At 37.8% G+C, this 24270-nt stretch overlaps 1 pseudogene; it reads right to left on the minus strand.

The window, feature by feature from the left end:
- Positions 11806–12338, minus strand: HIGD1AP18 (HIG1 hypoxia inducible domain family member 1A pseudogene 18; annotated as a pseudogene).

Genomic DNA, 24270 nt, shown 5'->3' on the forward strand with positions numbered 1-24270 from the left:
CATAGAGCCTTATGTATGTCATGTGAACATCACACAGTAGCGAATGAAAATAATAAAGATATCAAGAAACTTGAATCATATTTAATGAATCTCATTAAGAATGCGGGGAAACATGCAACAGTTAAAATTCTGTTGAAATTGTTTAAAATAAGTTCTAGATTTTAATGTTTAACCTGTAGATACAGTATACCTTCTTAATTTTCCCATGAGCTGGTGAGCTGAGGTTCCAGGGAAGCTTTGTTTCCAGTTTTTTAAAGATATATTTATTTTTCATTCATTTATTTAACAAAAGCTTTCTGAGGCCCGGGAGTTTTGCTAGGCAGTGTTGATAAAAATGTGAAGACAGAAAACAGACACGGCTCTTACTCTCTCAGAGCTAATTCATATCAGTTCAGAGGCAGTGAATAAGTAAATAATAACCAAGACAGAATATTTTCTTCTTAGTAAATGTTTACCTCTGTAAATGCAAAACATGAGTTATTTTAAACCTAGAATTTATATATTTCTAGTGACATGTTAAGAGTCTTTATTAGAACTTGGCTGTGGACTTAAAAATATTAGGAAAAAAATCAAAGTTAATTTGTTCATTAACTATGAGAAGTTAAAGAAGAAAAATTAAAATTGTTTTTTTAACCTTTACATAGAAAAGATGGAAACATTTTATAATAGCATTTTATATCCTCTTTAGCCTTTTAGCAACTTTTAGATTCTAAGAATTTAACAATAGAAATGTAAATAAGACATTGATTTATGTCCCTAATATAGTTTTAAAATGCTGACTTTAAGAAGTTAAATTTATTCTAGAATATTATGTAGTTCCTAAATCAATATATTTGAGTCTTTTAGGAAAAAGTTAAGTATGGATCTTATATTAGTTTACCATTAATACTATTTCTGTAACAAAGTTAGAAGCTCAAACCACCACCAATTTATTACCTTACAGTTCTGTAGTCAGAAGTCCAACATGGTTCTCAATGGCCTAAAATCAAGGTGTCCACAGGATTGTGTTCCTTTCTAGAGAGGTAAGGGAAGAATCTGATTTTTTTTTTTTTTTTGCTTATTCAGGTTGTTGGACAAATTGAGTCCCTTGCTCTTGTAGCTGTTCTCCCTGTTTCTTTGCTGGCTGTCAGCTAAGAGCTGTTTTCAGCTTCTAGAGGCCACTCACATTTCCTTGGTTATGGCCCTCTTCGTCTCCAAAGCCAGCAATGGTGGATTGAGACCCTTTCATCCTTGTAAATCTTTCTTTCTTCTTCTTCCATTGCTGTATCTCTCCAATTACAGCCTTTTAAGAATCCATTGGTTAGACAGAATCTCCCCCGCTCAAGGTTCATAACTTTTATTTACATCTGCAAAGTTGCTTTTGCGGTAATAATGTAACATATTCACAGCTTACAGGGATTGGGGAATGGATATATTTAGGAGCCATTATTCTACCTATCTCAGATCTCAATTGGGGCCATGCAGTATATCCAGTGTTTCATACCACTATTCTCAATACTTTATGTTAGAATAATAATATTGATAATAGGTAAATTTTGTTGGTTATATAATATGCTCAAGGTACTTTTCTGAGCCCTTTTACTAAATTCACTCATTTAATCCTCAGAACTACCCTAGGAGGCAAACACTGTTATTGTTCCCACTCACAGATGAGGAAACAGGTACTGAAAGCTGAAGTAACTTGTCGAATTTCTCACAGCCATTAAATGGTGAAATGGAGATCTGAACCTAGGTAGTCTGGTTCCAGAGCCTGTGCATGCTCTGAAGCTCAACATAATAAAAATAATTTCTACATACCTGGATTTAACTAAACATGTGTTGATGATACAGTGGCTATGAATTCAGGTTCTGACATCACCTTGTGGATTCAAATTCTACCTACCCATTACTGAATGACCCTGGGCAAGTTACTTGACCTCTCTGAGACTTAACAATAAACTGAACCAATAATAATAGTTGAGAATTAAACAAATACTATATGTAAGGTACTTAGAGCACTGCCTCTACATACAGTCATTCATAACAATAGAGATACGTTTTGAGAAGTGCGTCATTAGGCTATTTTGTTGTGTGAACATCGTAGAGTGTACTTACACAAACCTAGATGATGTAGTCTACTACATACCTAGGCTACATGGGATAACCTTTTGCTCCTAGGCTACAAACCCGCACAGCGTGTTACTGTACTGAGTACTATAGGTAGTTGTAACACAGTGGTAAGTATTTGTGCATCTAACCATGTCTAAACATAGAAAAATTGCAGTAAAAATACAGTATTATAATCTTAGGGACCACTGTTGTGTATGTGGGCCATCATTGACTGAAACATCATTATGCAGTGCAAGCAATTGCTAGCTGTAATTATTGATGACAATTCAACTTTTAAAAACAGTATTTATTATAAAAAGAAATGTTTCCTTTAGAGATCAGTCTTTCCTTGTAAAATAAAAACTGAAAATTAAAATTTTTACTTTAATACACTACAGTGCTATCTCCTTTCTCAGACTCTGATTTCTCCTCACTCTAGGCTAGCATCTATCGTTCTAACCATGGTACCTTCAGTGTTATCTGATCATGCATTCTAAATACTTTGTCCAGATCCTAGTATCTGCAGGCTAATATTCAAACTCTCTAGAAGGGCACCAGGACTTTTCACACATTCCAGAGACTCTCTCTTGCCATTCCTCTGCTGGGTATTTACACAGCCATCAATTCTAACTTTTCACTGCTCTCGTTTGCTATTATTATTCTTTGAGGGAGACTTATGTGTGTGGAGGGGACTCTGGGGAGTATGGACAATGTCATATCCTGGGTCCCCTTCCATAATGCCTGCTAATACCACTCCAAATTCACTCTCTCTTTTAATAATCTTTCCTGCACTTGCCTTAATTCAAACCCTCATTATCCTTGCACTTTAAGCCATCTCTTAACAAATTGGTGGCCTCCAGCCTCACTGCCCTTCAGGCTTACTATCCTTGCTTGCTGGAATGATCTCTAAACTACAAAACTCTATATGTTACTCTCCTTCTTCAAACCATTCAGTGTCCCCTCTGCCAGGTCCTACAAATATTACTCTTTTTTCTGTGCCTCTTGGTACCAGTTACATGCTTCTACCGTAACTTAAAAGGTGTCACACAGTTGTTTATTTAAATACATATCTTCCCTTCTAAATCAGGAGCTCATGGATAATAGAGCCATAAGAGATGGTTTTGCTTTAATGAATTTATATTATTTCATGATAACATAAATTATTGTATTATTGTATCATCTGTCTCTTGTCACTAATCTGTGAACTCTTTAAGGGGAGACTAATTGTTTTATTCATTTCTCTTTTTCCTCTATGCCCGTGGCATAGGAGGTACTTAGTAATTGGTCAATGAATGATTTGGGAAAAATAATCCAGAATATATACAATTTTTTAGTCTGCTTCAGTCTAAATAAATATATGAAACTATGTATTTGGAATATATATGATTTCATTATGATTATTATATACAATTCAATTATGATTTTAGAAGAAGCATAATTCCTGTACTCTGGAGCCAGAGTGCCTGAGTTTGAATTCTGGCTCTGCCACTTACAAGCTTGGGGAAGTTTTCTTGGGAAAGCTAATCAAAATTGTGTTTGTTGTTTGTCTGTAGAAGAAGAATGATAATAGTAACTGTCTTTTAAGTTAATAGAACTAAATGAATAATATTTATAACGTATCTATGACTTTAGACTCTATAATAGTGTCTACCACCTAGTAAATGTTCTACAAGTGCTTGTTAAATAAAAACATAATAGTTTTTATTCTCATTGCTTTTGATGATAGGTAATGGTCTTGAAATACAATGATTTAGAAAAAATCGTCCCGTACTTTCTAGTGGTGTTTTGAACTAGTTTTTTTACTCAATGATTTTTAATATTGTACATTCTAGAATGATCATATATATTCCTTCAACATTTAGAGAGTACCTGTGTGTGATCTCTCTCAGGAAACACTTACATATTTTCTCTTTGTATTATTTTTCTGTTGCCATTATAACAAATTACCACAAACTTAGTTGCTTAAAACAACGTAAATTTATTATATTATTATTCTATAGATCAGATGTCTGACAATAATCTCACCAACCTAAGATCAAGTTGACAGCAGGGTAGCACTCTTTACTGGAGACTGCAGGCTAGAATCTGTTTTCTTGCCTTTTCCCATTTTGGAGGCTGTCCACATTCATTGGCTCTTGGCCCCCTTCTTCTACCTTCAAAGCCTGCAATGTTGCATCTCTCTAATCATTCTGGCATAATCACAAGTGTTTCTCTGACCACAGCCAGGAATGGTTCTCTGCTTTTAAAGGATTCTTGTGATAAAATTGGACCCACCTGGATAAACCATGTCAGTCTTCCCATTTCAAGAACCTTAACTTGATTACATGTGCAAAATTCCTTTCCCTATGTAAAGTAATTTATTCATAAGTTCTATGGATTGGAGTATGGACTTCTTTGGAGGACTGTTATTCTGCCTACCACACTCTTGTACTGTAAATGAGTCACTGTGGAAAGGTAATAGGTTGTAGCTTCTGAAAATAAAGATAAATGTTAGCTAGATTGTTAACAGTAGTGTCAGTATCATTTATGACTCTACTGGTTGTTGAGAGCGAAGTTGGCTTAGTAGAATGCTTAGGTACTGCAGGGCTCACTGATTATGTCTTTGTCTCCTAGGATTTTTATTCTACTAGAGAGGGAAGAATACATTCATATTTGTTGCATATCTGCCGTGTCCTAGGTACTCTACAATGAACTACAGATACATTAATCCCATTTAATTTCCACAATAACTTTATGAGGTGTGGTAGGAGGCCTTCTAAGATGACCCAATGATCTCCATCACATAGCACTCACCCCCTTGTATAATCTCCCTCCTTTGAATGTAAGCTTAACCCAGTGACTCTACCAATGAACAGAGTAGGACAATAGTGATAGTATATCATTTCTGAGATTGGATTCCAGAAAACTATGACTTGTCTCTCACTTACACTGTCTGTCTCTTGCCCTCTTATTTGCTTGCTTTGATGAAGCAAGCTGCAGTGTGGTAAACTGCCTTTGAAAGAGACCCACATGTCAAGAAACTGAGCATCACCTGTGACCAACAGCCAGAAAGTAACTGAAGCCCCAAGACGAACAGCTTGTGCAAAACTAAATTCTGCCTACAACAAGAGCATGAATTGAGACGCAGATCCTTCCCTAGTTGATCCTTGAAATGCTTGCAGCTCTATGGACACCTTGATTGCAGCCTTGTGAGAAATTCTGAACTAGAGGACCTCGTATGCCTTACCCATAGGTCTTACAAGATAATACGTGTTTTTCAAAAAAGTAAGTTTGGGGATAATTTCTTATGCAGCAATAGATAATGAATAATAAAGTAAATACAGTTTTTTGCTGTTGACTTCAAAAATGTTTAAAGATTTTACTGTTATATAATTGTACATATTTATGGGGTACATGTGATATTTTGATACATGCATACAATGTGTAATGATCAAACTGGGGTAATTTGAATATCCATCACCTCAAATGTTATTTAGTGGTATTGGGAACATTCCAAATCTTGTAGGTATTTTGAAATATACAAAAAGTTAATTTTATATATAAATATATGTCATATATTATTAATATATTAATAATATATGCCATATATATATATGTATGTATAAATGCCATATATATTAATTACATGTATGGCATGTTTTCTTTTATACATTTATCCACTGATAAACACTTAGGTTCCTTCCTTACCTTGGCTATTGTGAATAGTGCTGCAATAAACATGGGAGTGTAGATAATCTCTTTGATGCACTAGTTTTCTTTCTTTTGGATGTATACCTAGCAGTGAGAATGCAGGATCATATGGTAGATATATTTTTAGTTTTTTGAGGAACTTTCATACTGTTTTTTACAGTGGCTGTGCTTATTTACATTCCCACCAACAGTGTGTGAGTGTTCACATCCTTGCCAGTATTTATTATTTTTTGTCCTTTGATAATTTTAACTGGAGTGAAGTGATATAATTGTGGTTTTGATTTGCATTTCCCTAATGATTAGTGATGTTGGGTATTTTTTTTAATACCTGTTGGCCATTTGTATGTATTCTTTTATGAAGCATCTATTTAGATCATTTGTCCATTTGTAAATCAGATTATTTGTTTTTTTGCTATTGAGTTGTTTGAGTTTCTTATATGTTCTGGTTATTAATCCCTTGTTGGATGGATAGTTTGCAAATATTTTATCCCATTCTGCAGGTTGTCTCTTTATTGATTGTTTCCTTTGCTGTGCAGAAGCTTTGCTTTAGTACAGATAATAAAACAAATACTTGGAAAGATTAGGCAACTTCCTGGGTCACTTAATTATTAGTAGAAGCTCTTTCCACTGCAAATAGTGATGATAATAGTAATAAAATTGAAGTATTAGTAGTTGCTTATGTTTATTGAGCAATTACTAGGTATTAGACAACTTTCAGTGCATTTTATATGTTATAATCTTAGATTATTACAACTTTATAAAGTAGGTACTATAATTATCTCATTTGATAAATGATGAAATTGGATTTAAGAGAGGTCAAACTATATTCCCAAGATCCGCAGTGAGCCAGTAGATTGGCAGGATTTGAACTCAGGTTGTATGGCTCTTGAGTTCTCACTCTTACCACTATAATAAATTGTTCCCTAAAGATCCATGCTATGAGGCAAAAGGTGATGGTGCAGCAGGAAGAAATGAAAGGTTACAGTCTGTCAGGCGAATGAGATTATCCCTGACCAAGTTATTAGGAAATGCTGTGGCACTAGGAAGGTATCCGACATGGCTCTGAAAGGCTGGGTAGAATTTAAGCTTCTGGCTGTTAGAGGAAAGAGCATAATCAGCTGAGCAAGACAGCTGGAGAAGCATGAGCTGGAAGACACCAGCTCACAGCATCTAGAGCTGCATCAGGATGAGGAAAAGTGGGAGATAAATTTAGAAAGATAGTTTGGGGCCTGGAGATAGTTATGTAAAAAAAAAAAAAGAATGTATTGTTTATAAAATTATTGATTCTTGAGGTTTGTGACTAGTAGTTTAAATCAACTACATCTTAAACTATTTAGTGGCACTATTATAGAGATGATATTCGGGTAAATTTGAAACACACAGAGAATCAGATTGTATAGATTGTATGAAAATATGAAATTTAGTTTCAGTACAGTACAAAAGAAAACTTATGAATGTACACTGAACATTTTGTGTGGTTAAACTTCTTGACACATTAAAAAATGTGTTAAGTTTATATTTAGTTTCAGCAAAACTGCATGAATCATTATATATCAACATATACAGGTATTTTTTTCTTATAAAAATAGTATTATTGGTGGTTACATGCAAAGAACATTAAGCATTCCACTAAAAACAGAGCTTATAGAAATGAAGAAAAAATTTCATTATGATTGTGTTTTAGTTACCTGGGAGTAGGCCTTAAAAACAGAAGTATTTTTTTCTTCAAAACATTCAGATTCACTAGATGAAAATTTAATTTTGTAGGATGTCTGTACAGTTCAACTTTGATTATGGTGTGAGCTTTCAATTTAGACAATTTATCATTACATGGAGAGGAATTTTTTCTCTTAAGCCAGATTGAGTTTTCTTTCCAGGGAATAGATGAATCCAGGAGAAATCTTTCCACAGCTTATACCTAGCCAATGGACAGCTCATTGAATAATGGCAAAAGGAAAATATGTAATATCTTTTCCTATAGTCTCTCTTTGACCTTGACTTATCTCAAAATTCTCCTATTCATAGATTAAAGCAGTTTACATTTCGATTCCTAAATTTGGGGGTTGGACTTCTGCTTCAAAACAGTACAAAGCAGGCAGTTGATAATATAAAATATATGCAGAGGCCTGACTGATTTGCCTCTGACAGTTGTGTGACCTTTGGAAGGTCTCTTAACTGTCAAGGCCCTCAGTTTCTTAATCTCTCATCTGTTTGACATGTCCTCTAAAATTTTTCCTTTGTTTTAATGGATTAGGATTCTACAGGCCAATTTTTTATGGCTGCAGTTTCAACCTGATCGTGCAGTTAAACATGTGGGCCTTTGTGCTGTCTATATGTTTTATTTGAAGTCATCTTTTCTATGTCTGTAGCTTTACAGGAATAACATAATTACATCCATAAGAGAGGCTAAGTCCTAAATTCCTAGCCTAGCCCAAGTTTGGCTTCACTTCTTGCTAATTTTGATCTTAAAATTTAGGAGAGGCTACTCCCTCTACCTCATAGCCAGACAGATTCTGTACTATCCCTAGAGGAATAATCTTGAAGCCCTTTCATTTTAAAATATCTCCCTTTTCTGTATGTATTTAAGTGTTTGTACTATATATCTTACTGCCATAACAGAGGAAGCCAGTGAGGTAATGAGAAAAAATATATGGCAATTATTTGACCTGACATCATTAACCTTAACAGCCTCAGCATCCAATACCTACCTTCATCCCCAGCCCCTACGCTCCCACCTGGAAGACTGCAGTGACCCTTAGAGGCAGGACATTTCTTTGAAAAGAAGCCTTTGGAACTCTGTCTGGAAAGGGTATTTTGAACACTCATTACTTCAGAGTTTCAGGACGAGTCTGAGGTCAATATTCTTGTATCCCACAAAAAATATGAGTAGAATAAAGGATTATATACATACACTAGCATTTCACATGATTTCCAAACAGTCAGAAAGTATCCAGAAGTCCTGGTTTTTCTTGAGTTCCTGAATTAATGAATTTTTCCTCCTCATTTTAGAAGGATCTAATGATTAAACATTGCTCCCAAGTACTTCTGGGTCATAGAAATTCTCTGAGAGTTGGATAAAGAAGATGCTGTAGAGTTACAAGAACTGGGCTTGAAGTTAAGGAGACCTGATAGCTTATATCCACATACTCATTGAGTTGAGTGCCCTTGAGCAAATGATAGAACATCTGAGGGCTTTAGTACTTCATGCGAAAATGAAGAATATGGGCTAGATAAATTTAGTGAACTTTTCCAATTCTAAATTTATATGATTCTAAGAGTAAGTTGCCAAGTGTCTATAGATACTTTGGATTACACCCAGGCACCAAGGCGAATGTCAACGGGTAGTGCTGCTTAGCTAGGCTTTGACATTATCCAGAGTAGTAGAGGTGGAAGCTTAATTCATTTGGTTTCCAAAAACTACTGAGGGATGAGTAGCCCTGAGAATATAAGACTAGGCTAGTCTTTGCTACACCATCTTGAAGTGTTTTGTTTTATAATATTCAGTTTACAGAGATTTAGTAAATTTAAGGTGACTTTTAGCCATTATTACAGAAAGACAGTATAAAATCTATGATTTCTTTACTTATTCATTTTAAATCCTATTATTTAAAAATTATCCTTGTTAGAAAATCTTACTAAGGTTTATTAATCAAATGGCAATCAATGAAATAAGATTTGTACTGAATGTATGACACTATATTAGTCACTTTGGGAGGATATAAACATTTGTGGGAGCGTGCTTGCCCTTAGTTTGTATGTTAGGAGAAGAGAAAAGTCACTAAGAAATAAAAATATGAACAAGAATGAAAGAATCAAAATGCTCAGGACATTTTGCAGGAGAATGGAATTAATCTAAAAGAAAGAATGTATCCTTTGGTTTTTTAATGAAATAACTTTGGGAGTACTTTTTAAAATTAAAGATTATTTTACTTAGAAGCAGATTGAAATCTTTCTTTTTCCAGCCTGCAGAGCTCTCTTTAAAGATAAACGTTGCAGTGGTATTTTTAATTATTAAGGCTGGGCACTTATTTCCTTCTTACACTCACACACTTCCAAGGGGATTTGGAACATGGAAGAATTTCATAGCTATTTAGAGAAATGAGAACTTAGGTCTTTATAATTGCAAATGTTACTTTCCAGTTCTAAGTTCAGGCTCTATTCTCCATGGTATTGAATCTTCCAAGTTGTGATACATCAATATAATGTATGATCTGTGCCTGAACATCCAAACATTTGTAAGTTTCTAGGATAGATGAAGGCAAATTTGTTTCAGCTAGCTTTGTTATGATTTATTTTTTCTAAGTGGTTAGTAACTTACCAATTAAATATATAATTTGGAAAATAAAATTTGATAATTTTTTCTCTTTCACAAGTAATTGTAGCTCAAACACAAAGCAATACTAATGTAGTCTGGCTGTCTATGGGCAAGTTACCTGAAGCAGTGTCTGAGCGTGTTTAGTCATAAGCCTAAGACAACCAGAAAATGTTCATTTTGGGAAGATGATGATTTCTGCTCACCTATCAGAACCTCAAACTACATGTGTGCTTAAGTAGTGTTTAGTGAAGGTAAATATTTCTTTTTTTTTTTTAGACATGGTCACTTGATTTAATAACAATACATATACCATGTTATCACTATGGAATGTAAATTCAGGTTAGACAAGAGAATTTCACAAGTGTAATAGCATTCTGTAGTATATAAAAGTGTGTATACACTGTCTGACCAAACCAGCTTGCTCATAAAGCATTAATCAATTCCATTATAGGTAATTTGTTTAGTTTAATGTTTATAATTCTTAGGGAGAAAATAAGAAAAGCACACATTTATTTATTTATTTATTTATTTATTTATTTATTTATTTAGAGACAGGGTCTCACTCTGTTGCCCAGGCTGGAGTGCGGTGGTGTGATCTCAGCTCACTGCAGCCTCTGCCTCCCAGGCTCAAGCAATTCTCCTGCCTCAGCCACCTGAGCAGCTGGGACTACCAGTGTGCGCTGCCACACCTGGCTAATTTTTGTATTCTTAGTAGAGGCAGGGTTTAATTATGTTGCCCAGGCTGGTCTCGACCTCCTAAACTCAAGCAATCCACCAACCTCGGCGTCCCAAAGTGCTGGGATTACAGGCATAAGCCACCGTGCACAGCCAGCAACGCACACATTTAGAAAGTGTTTATTTACCTTTCTATGAGTGCTTAAAATACACATTTCTATTTCAAGATGATATTTAAAAATTATTCTAATGTAACAGCCGCAAAAATATAACTCTACAATTACAAGAGAACTAAACTAGAATCCATAAGTTATTCTCATGTTTATAATTACGTTTTTTGTTGTTGTTGTTGTTGTTTGTTTTTTTTGAGACGGAATCTCACTCTGTCGCCCGGGCTGGAGTGCAGTGGCGCGATCTTGGCTCACTGCAAGCTCCACCTCCCGGGTCCACGCCGTTCTCCTGCCTCAGCCTCCCGAGTAGCTGGGACTACAGGCGCCCGCCACCACACCTGGCTAATTTTTTTGTATTTTTAGTAGAGACAGGGTTTCACCGTGTCAGCCAGGATGGTTTCGATCTCCTGACCTCGTGATCCACCCGCCTCGGCCTCCCAAAGTGCTGGGATTACAGACGTGAGCCACCGCACCCTGCCGCGATTCTTTAATAAATACTACTACTCTGCAGCCCTATTGTAAGCTTTCTAGATTTGGTTTAAACACACACACACATATATACTTTCAGCTGTGGGAGGCTTTACAACTTCTATTCCATGCATTTTCTAGACAGAGCTCTAAAAAAGCCAGCCAGTCCACAAGACAGGTAGAAAAAAAGTTAAATTAACTGGGGCAAATAGGACTCTTATATAACATCCAAAACATGAGAGATTCTGCAGCAAACTGGGAGTACTTCAGGGTTGGCGTGCTGTCTTCTTTAGAACTAATTTCACCTCAATAGTTTAAGAAGGTGGACATTTTAACACTATCCAGTGCATTTAGGTGACATGTTTCTTTTGTGTTAACTTGACTCCCCTGAATGACCTAGTTGGTAAACTAGTCACGAATAATTCGATCACCAGGCAAATCAAGCCTGTAGGAAAGGAAGCCAATATTCGAAATGCCATGTTACCATCTGAACCCACTCAAATAGTTTATTTTTAACATTAATATGTAACTTCAGTAATGAGATCTCTAACTAAAGCAAGCTCCTCCAAGAAGACCAAGACAGCTTCATTTCTTCTAAGGCTTAGGATTGCCCAGAATTCCTAATACATGGAATAGCCCATGCCAAGAGTCATTACTCCTACAACAAAGTCTTGGGCTGCCACACACACGTGGATCAGATGAAGGGGCATTTTAGTATTTCCCCTGCTCTTCAATTTGTATAATCCCTATACAACAATTGCTGCAAAACCTGCCATTCCAATGGGGATGAATGGTGCGTCTTTAGCTTTTCTAATAAGTTTGGGTCCCTGATCTTCATCATATGAAGATAGGGAAGCATCTGTGTCTGTTGACGTAGTGATTGCTTGAAGAATCTCCCTAGAACTAGCAAACCCCTCACACGCCAGCTGGCTCGAAGCTAAATATTTCTAAGTATTGTCATATATAATTTTTAAAATAATGCTAATTTATAATAATGTACTATAGGTGACTCAGATTTATGATTAAAGTTAGGCTATTTCCCTCTATTTTATAAAATAATAGTAATGGTTAATAGTACCAAATATATGCAACACACTATTGTAAGTATTTTACGTTTATTAATATTAATGCACTTTACATTTGCAACAACCCCATGTAGTAGGCATTGTTATTACCAGATTTCCATTTTACAGATGAAGAAACTGAGACACAGAGAAATTAAATAAATTACCCCAGATCGAAAGGTTGACAGGGCCAGAATGTAATGCCAGGCACCCTGCTCCTGGCATCAGTGCTTTAATCACTATACTATTCTTCCTCTCAATACAGTCTGCACTTCAGCTCCCTTCATTTAGACCTGGAGCCGCATTCTAAACTTGAGTACCTGCAGCCAAAATCTGTTTTTCAGTTAATCACTCGATATTGAATGAATGAAATGGAAAGAAGTCAAATAACTAGCTTATAGTCAGAGCTGGCTACGTTATTTGCAGGGCCAAGTCCATAATGAAACTGCTTGTTCAAAAAATAGGAAAAAAAAGTGTAATTAAATATACTAAAATATAAAGCTTTTCCTTTAGTTTACAATCTTTCTCCTGTCATGATAGTTTTGTTTGCCATTTAGTGTCATCTTAAGAAAAGGAAAATTAAAATTTAAAATGATTAGCATACATTTTATCATTCATCTTTCTATTGTGCAATACCTATTTTTAAATGCAAATATGGGAGTATTTAATTCGCATGTGGAAATTCCACCATGGTTTTATTGTTTTTTTTTTTTTTTTTTTTTTTTTTTTTTTTTTTTTTTTTTTAGTTTGCACATGAATATCTTTTTTTTCCTTACCAGAACAGTGGAAACTGCATAAACTAATTCAAATGCTTTTATTTTACTTCTTTACATGCATACATTCTACCAGCATTCTCTACCTTCAGCTTCCTGATGAGTAATGAAAGACAGAAAGAAAATGAAATATGGGTTGTCCTGTTTTTTTCTTTCCTCCTTTGTCATCATTTTCAATGTAAGTAGGTCATTAACACAGGAAACTAATATGCATAAGAAAGTATGGTAAGTTTCCTTGGTTGTTCATGTTTCTTAGAACACTATTGTTTTCTTTCTGTGTTTGAAGCAAGCTCTGGTTTGAATAAAAATCATGGCCTTTTGGGGCTATCAGTGCCTTTGCTTCCTCAGTAGTGGACATAAGACACCGACCGTGAATACTTGACTTGAGTCTCTATGAACTTCCACTTAGCGTGGGTCCACCAGAATCCTGTGCTCCTGGACATCACGAACACTGTGTGAATTGGGAGCTAAGGAATACAACAGGCCAAGATGCCTGCATTTTGCTTTGTATCTCCTCTGTTCCAGTGTATATTCCCCTGACACACTGGACCTCACTTACGAATATGTTTAAATATGAAATTGTTGGCAATTTCAACATGGCAATAGCAGAGCCCTTTTGAGTGCAAGGCACTGTATGACTACTCAGGTCCTACATCTCTGAAGTGGGCCTTGCTCAGGGCCATTAGATGAATTGAAAGCTGGATTGGCCTCACACCATTTTTCCAGTCAACCCCAAACATGCTACTAAAGATAGAAATAATTGGCCTGGGAGGGTTAGGTGTGATCAGAGGCGATCAAGCCAAGGTGAGATGGACTTCCAAAGGATTCTTGCCAGGCAGCTTGGAAAATAGTCTGGAGAAGCCAGTTAGTTGCTCGACACCATGCTCAGTAAACACCTTCCACAGGCTGAGGGACTTTCTCAGAATGGCCTGGGTTCTTGTGAGATGGTTCACTCCTGCAGTAAATTGCTGTGCTGATTTGACAGTAGATGATAAATCCAGCAGCCAGAAAGCAAGCAATAATCACACTGCAACCCTGCCTCATAATGCATGCAACATTTTTTGAAGTATTTTCATCCTCATTAGCTTATTCATGCTCATATCTCTATGAGAAAGGCAGGAATTTTTTTCCATTTTACAGCTGAGAAAGCTTAGGAAGTCTAGAATAGGACTGTCTAACAGAACTTTATGCAAAGATGGAGATGTCCTTTACCTGTGCGTCTAATATAATCATCACTAGCCACACATGGCTAGTACCACTGAAAAGCTGAAGTTTAAACTGATTTAATTTGAATTAAATTCAAGTAGCCACATGTATCTAGTGGCTTTTATATTGGACATGCAACTGGAGAACATACATAGTGATGCACTCTCTCTACACATTCACTCACTAAATTACCAGGATCAGAGCCTGAGAGTCTAGGAACTTCTCAAGAGCAGGCTCTTAACCAGGCACTTTTGGCATCTGGGGCCCGTCACTCAAGATCAGCTAATCTGCCTGGCCCTCAGGACACTTCCTCCCGCCTTGTTCAAGTCAACAGCCAGGGGAACAGACGTTACACCACACATCTCCAGGTGGTGCTAGGTTGGCAGTCATGTTTTAGGAAGCCAGCAAGAGGTCTTTTGGATCTAGATATGCCTGTCTGTCTCTTAGAAGATTAACAAGGCAAGGACATCAGACAATCCCAAAATGCTAATCCCATTATCTTTTCAACTCTGTGGAAAAATACCATCCTTCATTTTCTCAGATTTCATTTGCATTCAAGGAAGCTAAAAGTGGTCAAGATGCTTTCCTTCTGGGGTCCCATGTTACAGGAATCTAAAGCCTACTTGATTGACCTGACTGTTTTTACCCTGGGAAGAGGCGTAATTAACCCTGTTCATCTCTAAGACGAGGTTACAGCAGCCCCTATGCCAACTCTGGGAACTCCTATTCAACGTTACTGACCCGTTCATTCCCATACCATCAGAATGAATTTCACTTCAGGCCTAACCTTGCCATCATTGTTTCTCCCAATCCTGGTACAAGCCATTTTAGTGTTAGTATACTTCATCAGGTGGGAAGTGTATTTACCTGAAACACTCCTCCTCTCCCCCACACTACTAACAACTCCCAATTTCTTTCAGTTGATCTGTTGGCCATTTATTCAAATACTGCTAGGTGCTGAAGAGATGCTAAAAAAACATACAGTTACAGTCCCTCGTCTCCATCTCCAAGCTTCCCAGTCTCAAACCAGGTTGGGAAGGCAAGATTCAAACTAGCCATACTTGTCAGTATCCGTCTGTTTATTTACTATCACTCAGATATCGACCAGATGCTAGAAGAGTATGTACTTATATTCCTATGAAAATGGTATATACAGTCACTGGAGAATCTGCTCATGATCTCACTGTCATCCATCCAGAAAAGTTCGTTTTACAACTAGAAGTTTCAGTATCCCCTGATTATCCAAACTTCCTACCACTGCTGACACACAGCAGTCAGCTACTATTATGAGACTTATGAGCACTCAAGCGTATGGCTTTCAAGTTTATTATTTCCCAGAATCCTTGAGGACTACAATACAAGAATTTTCTCCATCTCTTATACCTCTTCCTAGTTTAAGCCAATTTTCCTCCCCTGGAATACCACAATGACCTCTTAACTCATCCCTACTATCCATTGTACACAATTCAGCTAGAATGATACTTTAGAGAGATAATTTGAAGCACGCCATTTCTCTATTCTAATACCTTTAATGGCACAATATTGTTCTTAGATTAAACACCCAAATCCTGAATATGACTCACAGGTATTGTTAGATCAGCTGTGGCCTCTTCCTCTTCCTATTTCAGCCATTTTACCTTAGCTCTTTGTACTTCAGGCAGTAAGCCTTTTTATGTTTATTAATCAATTAATTCAATAGACACGTATACAGAACCTGGGTGAATAAGACGGAAAACTTCTTCACTTTTGTGGAACTTTTATTTTAATTATAGAAAATAGATAAGTAAAAAGAAAAGATAATTTTAGGTTGTTGAAGGAAATACAGTGAGGTCCTTCAAAGTAGCTTGGAAAAAGCCCTGCTGCAGAGAAGGTGCTATGAGGGCTTCTCTTACATGCCCCACTACTTTCTGTCCTAGGACCATCACTCCTGCTATTCCTTCTTCTTGGAATCCCCTTCCAGAATCTTCTACCACAACTTCTACCCCATTCCACTGAGGCATCTTCTGCTCATTCTTCAGAACACAGTTCAGCTGTCTCTTTCTTAAGTAATCTTTCCTCAATCCCCAGGCAAACTCAGTTTTCCCTGTTACTTTTTCCTTATTTCACTTACCTGAATTATAATTAAATATTTGCTTAATTATTATTATTTTTTCCTAATGTCTGTCTCTTTTACTGTACCACAAAAGGGCAGGGGCTGGATCTTCCCTGTCACCTCAGGGCCCCACCTTGAGTCTGTCATATGTAGTTGTTTAGTCTGTATCTGCTGAGTGAATTGATGATAGTGGCTCACTACAAAGTGTTTCTCGCATAGCAAGAGATAAGAAAGGAAACATGTATACATATGTAACAAACCTGCAGGTTGTGCACATGTACCCTAGAACTTAAAGTATAATAACAATAAAAAAAAAAAGAAAGGAAACACTTCAGAATATCCCCCTGGTTGGTTCCGATATGCCTTCCATACTTTGGACCATCATCCTCTCCTGTATGCCAAAGAATTGTGTAAGGCCCATGCTGATGGACACTGTGTGTCAGGGGAGGTATCCAAGTTGGCTTTCCTACCAACGCATATGGATAGTCTGTCTTTGCTGGAAAGAGCATTGTGATAGATTACTGTTTAAAGGTCCCCTCTCCCACCCCTCCTGCCATGCCTCTCTCCTTGACTTTGGCCTTAGCTTTGTTAATTTGCCTTGGCCAATAGACCGCTAGAAGAGCGACCACAAGCAGGGAATTGACATGTGGTTAGTAGCTGGGCACATTGTCTTATATTTCTCTCTTCACCGTGAGAAGAGCTCCCTGTTGGCTGGGCCCCAAATGAACACATATGGACAGACCTGAGCCCAAACTTCAGTGAAGAGCTATGTCCAGCTGGACTAAGGCTTGGAGCGGAGCTGTGCAGCTGAGCCCAACCCAAATCAGCTGAACCTCACTGACCTGCAGACATTTGAGCTAAATAAATATCTATTACACACTGGCAATGTTTTGTGGTTGTTTGTGATGCAGCAAATGCTAACTGACACAGACCTTAAAGCTTGGATAGATTTCTGCAATTGGTCTGAATGTGGTTCCTTTTTCCCAGGGGACTTATGAACAAAAAGTTTATCTGTCTCCAATGATGTACATCTACAATGATGGAACAAAAACAAGATTGTCACATTAAACTTTCCATTTGGAAGACCCAGAGCAGTCAATAATTATTAACAATTGTAAAGTCCTACTAGATAAACAATGTGAGGGGCTGTGAAGGCCATGAGAATGTGTCTGCAGGTTTTAATACAGGGAGCACACTTGACCTAGAGGGGATCCAGTGATACATCCTTCATTGCCTTGGAGTAGAGGCCATGTCTGCCATGGTCTGCTCTTCACCAAAGACTTCGTGAGCAAGAGTTGGAATCCTAAAACAGAATTGTTCCTGGGAGACCTGGTACCCCTTTTTAGACCAACCTTAGCAGCTTTGCTGAGCCTGCCTTCCTCTGTAAAGCAGTTTAGGCACCTTTCCTCAACACACTCTCTCTCTTGCTTTCCTTCATTCACAGTCTAATGGGTTTCCCACCCTTGTCTAACTCTCTCCCTATTTCTTTGCCTGCAGGTGTTTGCTCTACTAAAATCCTTACATGCTTAATTTTGCCTAGGCATTTGCTTTTTGGAGGATCTAAACTAAAAGAAGTGGGAGTAAGTTTGGTTTAGGAAAATAGGAGTAAGATGAAGATTTGGCACTGGCCTACTGACCACTCAGTGGAAAATTAGACACCGCCCTGATAGGCAGGTAGGAGATGAATAGCCCCTGGCACAAGGTGAAGTTTAGTGGCTAATCATTTTGCTGATAATGACCTGGAAAAATGTCCTGGTGAAAGGGAATGCTGAGGAAGGTGCCATGGTGCTGGCATTTGAGATATATAGGATGAACCATGCCTGCCAACACAGTGAAATTGGCTGGTTACCGCCTTGTTGAAATTAGGTGCTTCAGAAGGATAGCGTAAGATTGCCTGACATTAATATGTGATTAATGGCTAAGTGTGAGAACCACAAAGCTTGGATGGCAGTAGCATATTGAAAGAGAGGGATAATCGGCCAGGTGCGGTTGCTCACGTCTGTAATCCCAGCACTTTGGGAGGCTGAGGTGGATGGATCACCTGAGGTCAGGAGTTTGAGACCAGCCTGACCCACATGGAGAAACTCTGTCTCTACTAAAAATACAAAATTAGCTGAGTGTGGTGGCACATGCCTGTAATCTCAGCTACTCGGGAGGCTGAGGCAGAAGAATCACTTGAACCCAGGAGGCAGAGGTTACAGTGAGCTAAGATCATGCCATTGCACTCCAGCCTGAGCAACAAGAGCAGAAGCCCATCTCAAAAAAAAATAATAATAATAAATGAGAGAGAGAAAGAGAGGGACAATCAAATGGCTAGGAGAACTAATTGTGAGTGTTGCAGAGTTCCAAAGATGATTGAAAACTCAGTCAAATCAGTTCTACTATGTGAAGGTCAGAGCCCTAGGAAGGAAAACTACAGATTCTGATAACTGTGACAGTGCTATCTGGATTTTCCCAAGGATGTTGACTCTGCAACCCTCTCTGGATTCTCTTGGTGTGCAGAAGTTGCCACCTTTCCCTTCTGTAGAAAGATCTACCACTTCAACTATGCTAGAAGATGCTTCAGAACCTCTCCACACAGGTAACCCATACCCTGTTCTGCCCTCACCACTTCTACTGGCCGCCAGACCTATAACTAGGGACTGGATATTTAAGAGTTCTTGGTCAAAGGGCCAACGTTTAAATCTGAATAAGCAAGAGTTTATTGACTTGGGGAGAGTTTTTGGAAAATAAGTTTTAATACCCTAACAAAGACCCAAGTGATGGGGCACATGTATTATTGGAGTGGCTCTCAGAAACTGGAAAAAACAGCACCATTTATTGAATAGGAGATCATTTTCCCATTGTTTGTTTTTGTCAGGTTTGTTGAAGATGAGATGGTTGTAGATGTGCGGTGTTATTTCTGAGGTCTCTGTTCTGTTCCATTGGTCTATTTGTCTGTTTTGGTGCCAGTACCATGCTGCTTTGGTTACTGTAGCTGTGTAGTATAACTTGAAGTCAGGTAGCATGATGCTTCCTGCTTTGTTCTTTTTGCTTAGGACTGTCTTGGCTATACAGGGTCTTCTTTGATTCTGTATGAAATTTAAAGTAGTTTTCTCCAATTCTGTGAAGAATGTCAATGGTGGTTTGATGGAAATAGCATTGAATGTACAAATTACTTTGGGCAGTATGGCCATTGTCACGACATTGATTCTTCCTATCCATGAGGATGGAATTTTTTTTCCATTTGTTTGTGCCCCCTCTTATTTCCTTGAGCAGTGGTTTGTAGTTCCCCTTGAAGAGGTCCTATACATCCCTTCTTAGCTACACTCCTAGGTATTTTATTCTCCTATTCAATAAATAGTGCTGGGAAAACTGGTTAGTCATATGCAGAAAACTGAAACTGGACCCCTTCCTTACACCTTTTAGAAAAATTAGCTCAAGATGGATTAAAGACTTAAATGTAAAACCCAAAACCATAAAAATCCTAGAAGAAAAGGCAGTATTATTCAAGACATAGGCATGGGCAAAGGCTTCATGACAAAAATACCAAAAGCAATTGCAATGAAAGCCAAAATTGACAGATGGGATCTAATTAAACTAAAGAGCTTCTGCACAGCAAAAAGAAACTATCATCAGAGTGAACAGGCAACCTAGAGAATGGGAGAAAACTTTTGCAATCTACCCATCTGACAAAGGTCTAATACCCAGAATTTACAAGGAACTTAGACAAATTTTACAAGAAAAAAAAATCCCATCAAAAGGTGGGCAAAGGATATGAACAGACACTTCTCAAAAGAAGACATTTATATGCCAACAAATATATGAAAAAAAGCTCAACATCACTGATCATTAGAAAAAGGCAAATCGAGTCAGGCGCGGTGGCTCACACCTGTAATCCCAGCACTTTGGGAGGCCGAGGCAGGTGGATCACAAGGTCAGGAGATCGAGACCATCCTGGCTAACACGGTGAAACCCTGTCTCTGCTAAAAATACACGCAAAAAATTAGGCAGGCATGGTGGCACGCACCTGTAGTCCCAGCTACTCGGGAGGCTGAGGCAGGAGAATGGCGTGAACCCAGGAGGCGGAGCTTGCAGTGAGCGGTTATCGTGCCACTTCACTCTCCAGCCCAAGCCCAGGTGACAGAGCTAGACTCCATCTCAAAAAAAAAAAAAAAAAAAAAAAAGGAAAGAAAAAAGACGTAGAGAGAAGAATCAAATAGACGCAATAAAAAATGATAAAGGGGATGTCACCACCAATCCCACAGAAATACAAACTACCATCAGAGAATACTACAAACACCTCTACACAAATAAACTAGAAAATCTAGAAGAAATAGATAAATTGCTCGACACATACACCCTCCCAAGACTAAACCAGGAAGAAGTTGAATCTCTGAATAGGCCAATAACAGGCTCTGAAATTGTGGCAATAATCAATAGCTTACCAACCAAAAAGAGTCCAGGACCAGATGGATTCACAGCCAAATTCTATCAGAGGTACAAGGAGGAAATGGTACCACTCCTTCTGAAACTATTCCAATCAATAGAAAAAGAGGGAATCCTCCCTAACTCATTTTATGAGGCCAGCATCATCCTGATACAAAAGCCTGGCAGAGACACAACAAAAAAAGAGAATTTTAGACCAATATCCTTGATGAACATTGATGCAAAAATCCTCAATAAAATACTGGCAAATGGAATCCAGCAGCACATCAAAAACTTATCCACCATGATCAAGTGGGCTTCATCCCTGGAATGCAAGGCTGGTTCAATATACTCAAATCAATAAATGGAATCCAGCATATAAACAGAACCAAAGACAAAAACCACATGATTATCTCAATAGATGCAGAAAAGGCCTTTGACAAAATTCAACAACGCTTCATGCTAAAACCTCTCACTAAATTAGGTATTCATGGGACATATCTCAAAATAATAAGAGCTATCTATGACAAACCCACAGCCAATATCATACTGAATGGGCAAAAACTGGAAGCATTCCCTTTGAAAACTGGCACAAGACAGGGATGCCCTCTCTCACCACTCCTATTCAACATAGTGTTGGAAGTTCTGGCCAGGGCAATCAGGCAGGAGAAGGAAATAAAGGGTATTCAATTAGGAAAAGAGGAAGTCAAATTGTCCCTGTTTGCAGATGACATGATTGTATATCTAGAAAATCCCATTGTCTCAGCCCAAAATCTCCTTAAGCTGATAAGCAACTTCAACAAAGTCTCAGGATACAAAATCAATGTACAAAAATCACAAGCATTCTTATACACCAATAACAGACAAACAGAGAGCCAAATCATGAGTGAACTCCCATTCACAATTGCTTCAAAGACAATAAAATACCTAGGAATCCAACATACAAGGGATGTGAAGGACCTCTTCAAGGAGAACTACAAACCACTGCTCAATGAAATAAAAGAGGATACAAACAAATGGAAGAACATTCCATGCTCATGGGTAGGAAGAATCAATATTGTGAAAATGGCCATACTGTCCAAGGTAATTTATAGATTCAATGCCATCCCATCAAGCTACCAATGACTTTCTTCACAGAACTGGAAAAAACTACTTTAAAGTTCATATGGAACCAAAAAAGAGCCCACATTGCCAAGTCAATCCTAAGCCAAAAGAACAAAGCTGGAGGCATCACACTACCTGACTTCAAACTATACTACAAGGCTACAGTAACCAAAACAGCATGGTACTGGTACCAAAACAGAGATATAGATCAATGGAACACAACAGAGCCCTCAGAAATAATGCCGCATATCTACAGCTATCTGATCTTTGACAAACCTGAGAAAAACAAGAAATGGGGAAAGGATTCCCTATTTAATAAATGGTGCTGGGAAAACTGGCTAGCCATATGTAGAAAGCTGAAACTGGATCCCTTCCTTACACCTTATACAAACATTAATTCAAGATGGATTAAAGACTTAAATGTTAGACCTAAAACCATAAAAACCCTAGAAGAAAACCTAGGTATTACCATTCAGGATATAGGCATGGGCAAGGACTTCATGTCTAAAACACCAAAAGCAATGGCAACAAAAGCCAAAATTGACAAATGGGATCTAATTCAACTAAAGAGCTTCTGCACAGCAAAAGAAACTACCATCAGAGTGAACAGGCAACCTACAAAATGGGAGAAAATTTTCGCAACCTACTCATCTGACAAAGGGCTAATATCCAGAATCTACAATGAACTCAAACAAATTTACAAGAAAAAAACAACCCCATCAAAAAGTGGGCGAAGGACATGAACAGACACTTCTCAAAAGAAGACATTTATGCAGCCAAAAAACACATGAAAAAATGCTCACCATCACTGGCCATCAGAGCAATGCAAATCAAAACCACAATGAGATACCATCTCACACCAGTTAGAATGGCAATCACTAAAAATCAGGAAACAACAGGTGCTGGAGAGGATGCGGAGAAATAGGAACACTTTTACACTGTTTGTGGGACCGTAAACTAGTTCAACCATTGTGGAAGTCAGTGTGGCGATTCCTCAGGGATCTAGAACTAGAAATACCATTTGACCCAGCCATCCCATTACTGCGTATATACCCAAAGGACTATAAATCATGCTGCTATAAAGACACATGCACACGTATGTTTATTCGGCACTATTCACAATAGCAAAGACTTGGAACCAACCCAAATGTCCAACAATGATAGACTGGATTAAGAAAATGTGGCACATATACACCATGGAATACTATGCAGCCATAAAAAATGATGAGTTCATGTCCTTTGTAGGGACATGGATGAAATTGAAAATCATCATTCTCAGTAAACTATCGCGAGGACAAAAAACCAAACACCGCATATTCTCACTCATAGGTGGGAATTGAACAATGAGAACACATGGACACAGGAAGGGGAACATCACACTATGGGGACTGTTGTGGGGTGGGTGGGGGTGGAGGGATAGCATTAGGAGATATACCTAATGCTAAATGACGAGTTAATGGGTGCAGCACACCAGCATGGCACATGTATATGTATGTAACTAACCTGCACATTGTGCACATGTACCCTAAAACTTAAAGTATAATAATAATAAAATAAAATAAAAAAATAAACAAAACAAAAAAGACCAAAAAGAAAAAAAAAAAAGAAAAGAAAAAAGACGCAAATCGAAACCACAATGAGCTACCATCTCATGCTAGGCAGAATGGTGTTTATTAAAAAGTCAAAAAATAGTAGATACTGTCAAGGCTGTGGAGAAATGGAAATGCTTTTACACTGTTGGTGGGAGTGTAATTTAGTTCTACCACTGTGGAAGACAGTGTGGTAATGCCTCAAGGGTCTAGAACCAGAAATACCATTTGACCCAGCAATCCCACTACTGGGTATATACCCAAAGGAATAGAAATCATTCTGCTATGAAGACACATGCACATTGTATGTTTATTGCAACACTATTTACAATAGCAAAGTAATGGAACCAACCCAAATGCCCATCAATAATAGACTAGATAAAGGAAATGTGGCACATATGCATCATGGAATACTATGCAGCCACAAAAAAGAATGAGATCACGTCCTTTACAGGGACATGGATGAAGCTGGAAGTCATCATCCTCAGCAAACTAAAACAGGAACAGAAAGCCAAACACCACGTGTTCTCACTTATAAGTGGAAGTTGAAAAATGACTACACATTGACACAGGGAGGGGAACAACACACACCAGGGCCTGTTGAGGGGTGGGGAGCGAGGGGAGGGAAC

Source organism: Homo sapiens, chromosome 8 (assembly GCF_000001405.40).
Source record: "Homo sapiens chromosome 8, GRCh38.p14 Primary Assembly".
Classification (NCBI taxonomy): Eukaryota; Metazoa; Chordata; class Mammalia; order Primates; family Hominidae; genus Homo; species Homo sapiens.